This window comes from Homo sapiens, chromosome 16 (genome assembly GCF_000001405.40).
Source record: "Homo sapiens chromosome 16, GRCh38.p14 Primary Assembly".
In the NCBI taxonomy this organism is placed as follows: domain Eukaryota; kingdom Metazoa; phylum Chordata; class Mammalia; order Primates; family Hominidae; genus Homo; species Homo sapiens.
This window is the reverse complement of record NC_000016.10, coordinates 72,079,455-72,084,856: the sequence shown is the minus strand read 5'-3', so window position 1 is coordinate 72,084,856 and position 5,402 is coordinate 72,079,455.

The following is a 5,402-nucleotide window of genomic DNA, read 5'->3' as shown; positions in this document are numbered from 1 at the left end:
GTCACTGTTAGTTGGGTTTTCTGTTCTTCAGCCCAGATCACACAGTATTTGCGGTATGGTAAGCACTCAGCGCACCAGCCAAAACTCAGAACCTGCGTGTGCAAAATTATCATGTCTTCTTCCTCCTGTTAGAAATAAGTTCTCTTATTTCTGAGTGCCGCAGAGGAAGAGGAGCACTCAGAAGAAAAGTTTCTCAGCAAGGCAAAGTTTACTTCTGCAGAAGGGTGCTGCCCGCGCCTATAGCAGTCGCAAAAGCACACCTAACAAAGGAGAACAGGTTTCTAACCCTAACGCAGTTCCTGCTTCTTTGTCTTTCCCCCATTGGCTGGGGTTGGACCGCACAGTCTAGGCTGACTCCAATTGGCTATGCGCTTGAATCTTTCTCAAATAAGGCAGAGGGTAAAGGTTACAGGTTAAGGTTTGGAGCAAGGCGGTTTACAGCCTATGACAAGAAAGTTGGATCTTTGAAGAGGAACCTTTCTTTTATTCTGACAATTTCCCCCTTTTTGTTGTTATAATTCTTCCTCTTCAAATTATTTTAGTAAGATTTGGCTTTGTTGCTCTTCTTGATTGTCTAGGAGTAAAAGTTGGTCTGAATATGGAGGGGGAGAGACAGAGAAGGTTTTAGTGCAAGCCATTTCTATGAGTCTTTGAACTAACCCACAAACACAAGGTGTGATGCAACAGCCTACAAGGATGAGTGCACTTGTAACAATGGCAAGGGAAGTGAGGATAGAGGCCATAAGTCCTTTCCATTTACCAAACCATCTTTTGGTTAAACCTGTGAAGGGGTCATCTATTCCAGAATTTTCAGCCAGCTCATTTGCTAGGGTGGTGAGGCCTTGTAGAGCCTTGGTAGTGGTTCCATCGGGAGCTGTGTTATTTGGGATCAAAGTACAACATTGGGCTCTGATGATTACACAAACTCTGCCGTTTTCTGCTAATGTCATGTCAAGAGCTATCCTGTTTTCCCAGGCCATTTGGCTGGTGGGACCAAATTGCTCGGCTATCCCCAAATGGTATCTCTGGTATAATTAACAAATCCTTGTTGATTGTAATATATATAGTTTATCCAGTCTACGTTTTTGTTTATAGTAGACCACCAAAATAAGACTGACTCAAACCTGGCAGCTATTTGATTTCGAGCTTTAAATTCATTGGCGGCTACTCGTGGTACTCCAATTGCCTCTATATAGACATGGGGGTCAAAAGACCCTTGAGGAGCTTCTCTTTCTTCCCAAGAGGGTGACTTTTTGTCGGACTGATGAAATGCCAGGGTGAAAGAGATGGCCAGTTGGATTAGAGTGCAAGTGCTGCTCCAATTATTTGGCAGCATACCCAGTAGAGGTCCTCCACAATACCACCAAACATCTGCTTGTGGATAGACAAGGGCAGTCTGATTGGTGAGCTCTCGAAAAGGCTCGGATTCACTGCATCCCGTTAGATTCCTGAAAGATGTAAGTTTTCCCCGTCATGAGAGACAAGAGGTAAAATTGGCATCAGAGGCCAGGAGCCAGATGGCCCTTGGGGGCTGACCCACAGGGAAGTCTTTGACTTTTGGGAAAAGCAGTGAGAGACTGGTGCATGACTTATTACCCCAGGCTGTGGGGTGCTGGAAGAGAGCTACTGTACAGTCCATGCCCGGTTGGTTAGACCATCCAAGCAGGAAGGGAACTATTTGGATTTCTGGCCTGCCCATTGCACAGGCATAACAGTCGCTTTTATTTAAAGTGCAAACTGAATATTTGATCCATTTCAGCCAGGCATTCATTTCTTGGTGTCCGGTCTCGATGGCCAGGGTTTGTTTTAGGTCTTTGACTTCCACTATGTGCACTTTAGTTTTGTCATTAGGTAGTGGCAAGATAGTTGTTTCATTTGGAGGAGATCTTCGGGAAGGAAGGGGTGCTGGAGGGGCGACAAAACGAATCTCAAAGGACCCTATGGGGTCTTTCCCGCTAACATCTGCCCCATACCATAAAAGCGACTTAGGGTGGGAATATGGTTAGTGGAGGTTGAAGTAGTAATAGAAATATGCACCAGGTTACATCGGAGGTGTTGGCAGTTAGAGGAGTTATTTTGTTTAGTAAAATGGATATAAGGTTTTAGGGAGGTGCAGCCTGCTGAAGAAGTCCAGCCTTGGGACTGAGTGGTCCAGAGAATATCGTACCAGGAATGGCAAGGTAGCCAATTATAGGGAATCTTGCAAGGATCAGATTGAGGGTGGGGTGAGTACCAAGGGCAAAGATACTTTTCTGAAGAGGCTAGTTGCCTTTGACTTTGTAGGTCTCTGCAAGGTATGACTAGGCAAGCATCAAACACAACAGCTTGAGGGGAGGCTGACCTGGTTACATTAACAATGAAATGCGGGCTGGGCACGGTGACTCATGCCTGTAATCCCAGGACTTTGGGAGGCCGAGGCGGGCAGTTCACAAGGTCAGGAGATCAACCATCCTGGCTAACACTGTGAAACCCCGTCTCTACTAAAAATACAAAAAATTAGCCGGGCATGGTGGCAGGCACCTGTAGTCCCAGCTACTCGGGAGGCTGAGGCAGGAGAATGGTGTGAACCCAGGAGGCAGAGCTTGCAGTGAGTGGAGATCTTGCCACTGCACTCCAGCCTGGGCAACAGAGCGAGACTCCATCTCAAAAAAAAAAAAAAATGAAATGCCCCTGGGCAATTAGGGGGAAGAAGAGACAAATTAGACCTTTTTGAATGTTAATTTTGAGGGAGTTGGTCCTGGAGTGATGGTCCATGATTCCATAAGGGGTGGGGTCCTTTTTACCCAAGTGTGATGAGTCCACCCCTGTTCAGCCGTTCGGGCTGCTGTTTCAGTTGTTAGGAGTATTAGATAGGGTCCTTCCCACGATGGTTCGAGTTTTCCTCCCTCCAGCTTTTGATGAGCACATAATCCCCAGGCTGATGTGGGTGTACTGGAAACTCTAGAGGCGGCATTTGTGCTAAGAGGCCTTGGGTCCTGAGGGAAAAAAGGGTGGAAGATAGACCACGTATATAGTTTTTAAGAAATTGATGTTTTGTTTCAAATGTAGGGATGTCAGTGGTGGAATTTAAGCATGGCAATCTGTAGAGCGTTTCATAAGGGGACAGGCCGATATCTTTTCAAGGGGCGATACGAATTCTTAGTAAGGCGACAGGGAGGTACTTAGTTCATGGCAGTCGGGTTTCCAAGATTAGTTTAGTTAGGTGATTTATTTATTTTGATTCATTCTTTCTGCTTTTCCTGATGAGGGTGGGTGCCAGGGAGTATGATATTCCCATTTTATCTCTAGTGTCTGGGTTAATCCTTTAATGACCTGTGCAGTAAAATGGGTTCCATTGTCTGAGTCAATGTTCTCTATTAATCTGAATCTGGGTATGGTATCTTCTATTAGTACTTTAACTACATTATTGGCAGTTGCACTTGGCAGGTGAATGGCTTCCACCCAGTGAGTGAGATGGTCCACTATAACTGACAAACATTTGAGGCAGCCTATTTGGGGCATTTCGGTATAAGTCAATTTGGACACTTTGGAATGGCCTTAGCCCAGGATTTCTTCCGCCGAAGGGCAGTTTTCTTAAAGTTTGTTTATTGGTTTTTCTGCATACCATACAACTGTCTGTGACTTGCCTGGTGAGGGTATAAATCCCTGTACACCCATAGGTTCTAAGGACTGCATCACACATGGCTTGGGGACCCCAATGGGTCCCTTGGTGAAGTTGTGTTAAGATTTCTGTCATTAGGGGTTTGGACAACATTTCTTTGTTATCTGGCAGTATCCGTTTCTCTTCTGAGTTTTTGTTAGCCCCTATTTTCTTTAATTTTTCTTTGTCTGCTTGGGAGAAGATGGGGGTTGCAGATGGGGAAGGGAGACAAGGGGTTCAGTGGAAAATGGGTGCTTCTTGGGAAGTAACTCTTGAAAGAGAGACCTTTATGGTGTCCTGGGACATGAACAATGGCTATGTCCTCTGGTAGCTGAAGGTTTTCTAATACTTGCATGATTAACTCTTTGTGGACAAGGTTTTGGCCCTTGCTAGTAATAAGGCCTTGTTCAGTCCAAATCTTCCCAAAGGTATGGGCCACTCCAAAAGCATATTTGGAATTGGTGTAAATAGTCCCTTCTTGATTCTGCAGCTATTTTAAGGCTTGATTTAGTGCGAACAACTCACATGTTTGGTTAGACCAGTTATTGGGAAGTCTCCCTGATTCTACTTCTGTGAGAGTTTCTCCATCAACCACTGAGTAGCCATTATGTTTTTTCTCTTCAATTACCCGAGAGGAGCTGTCTACAAAGAGATGGTGCCCTGTTTTTAAAGGGGTCTCACTTAGATCAGGCCTTACTTTAGTTTGATGATTAAGTCTAAACATTTGTGCTTGGGGTCTCCAGCGTTTGGATTTCCTGTCAGGAAGGTGGCGGGGTAGGCCGGGCACAGTGGCTCACGCCTGTAATCCCAACACTTTGGGAGGCCAAGGCAGGCAGATCACCTGAGGACAGGAGTTCAAGACCAGCCTGACCAACATGGAGAAACCCCATCTCTACTAAAAATACAAAAAAATTAGCCAGGCATGGTGGCATGCCTGTAATCCCAGCTACTTGGTAGGCTGAGGCAGGAGAATTGCTTGAACCCAGGAGGCAAAGGTTGCGGTGAGCCGAGATTGTGCCATTGCACTCTAGCATGGGCAATAAGAGTGAAACTCCATCTCAAAAAAAAAAAAAAAAAGGAAGGTGGCGGGGTTGAGCACATTGTCAGTGGTTAGGGTTAAATCACCTTTTTCTAATAGGATAGCTTCATATTTTAGGATTCTTGAATCTGTAAGCCATCTCCCTGCTTTTTGGCTAAGAATGGTTTTAACCTGATGGGGTGTGCTTAGGATGAGACTTCCCCCAAAGGTTATTTTTCTACTTTCCTCTGTCAATAAAACAGTTGCTGCTGTAGATTGGATACATTCGGGCCACCCACAGGTTACCACGTCAAGAATGTTTGACAGAAAGGCTGTGGGCTGGCAATGGCCCCATGCTTTTGAGTGAGTACTCCTATAGCTGCCCCATTGCTTATATTAACAAAAAAGTGAAATGGCTGTTCTAAGGATGGCAGAGCTAAGACAGGGGCAGTTATAAGTAGATGTTTTAGTTCCTCAACTTGCTGGACTTCTTGTGGGGTCCAAAGAAGGGGGTCAGGCCCTTCTTGGGTAAGTTTTAGATATAGAGGTTTTGTTTTTAAGGCATAAGAGTCAATCCACAGGCAATAATTTCCAGCTAGCCTGAAGAATTTTCTAAGTTCTTGTTTTGTCTCAGGCAGTGGCAGGGATATGATCCCTTCCATTTGTTCGGGCCCTATCTTCGGCTTACCTTTGCTTATTAAGTGCCCCATGTGTTTTACCTCAGGTTCTACAAGCTGGAGTTTA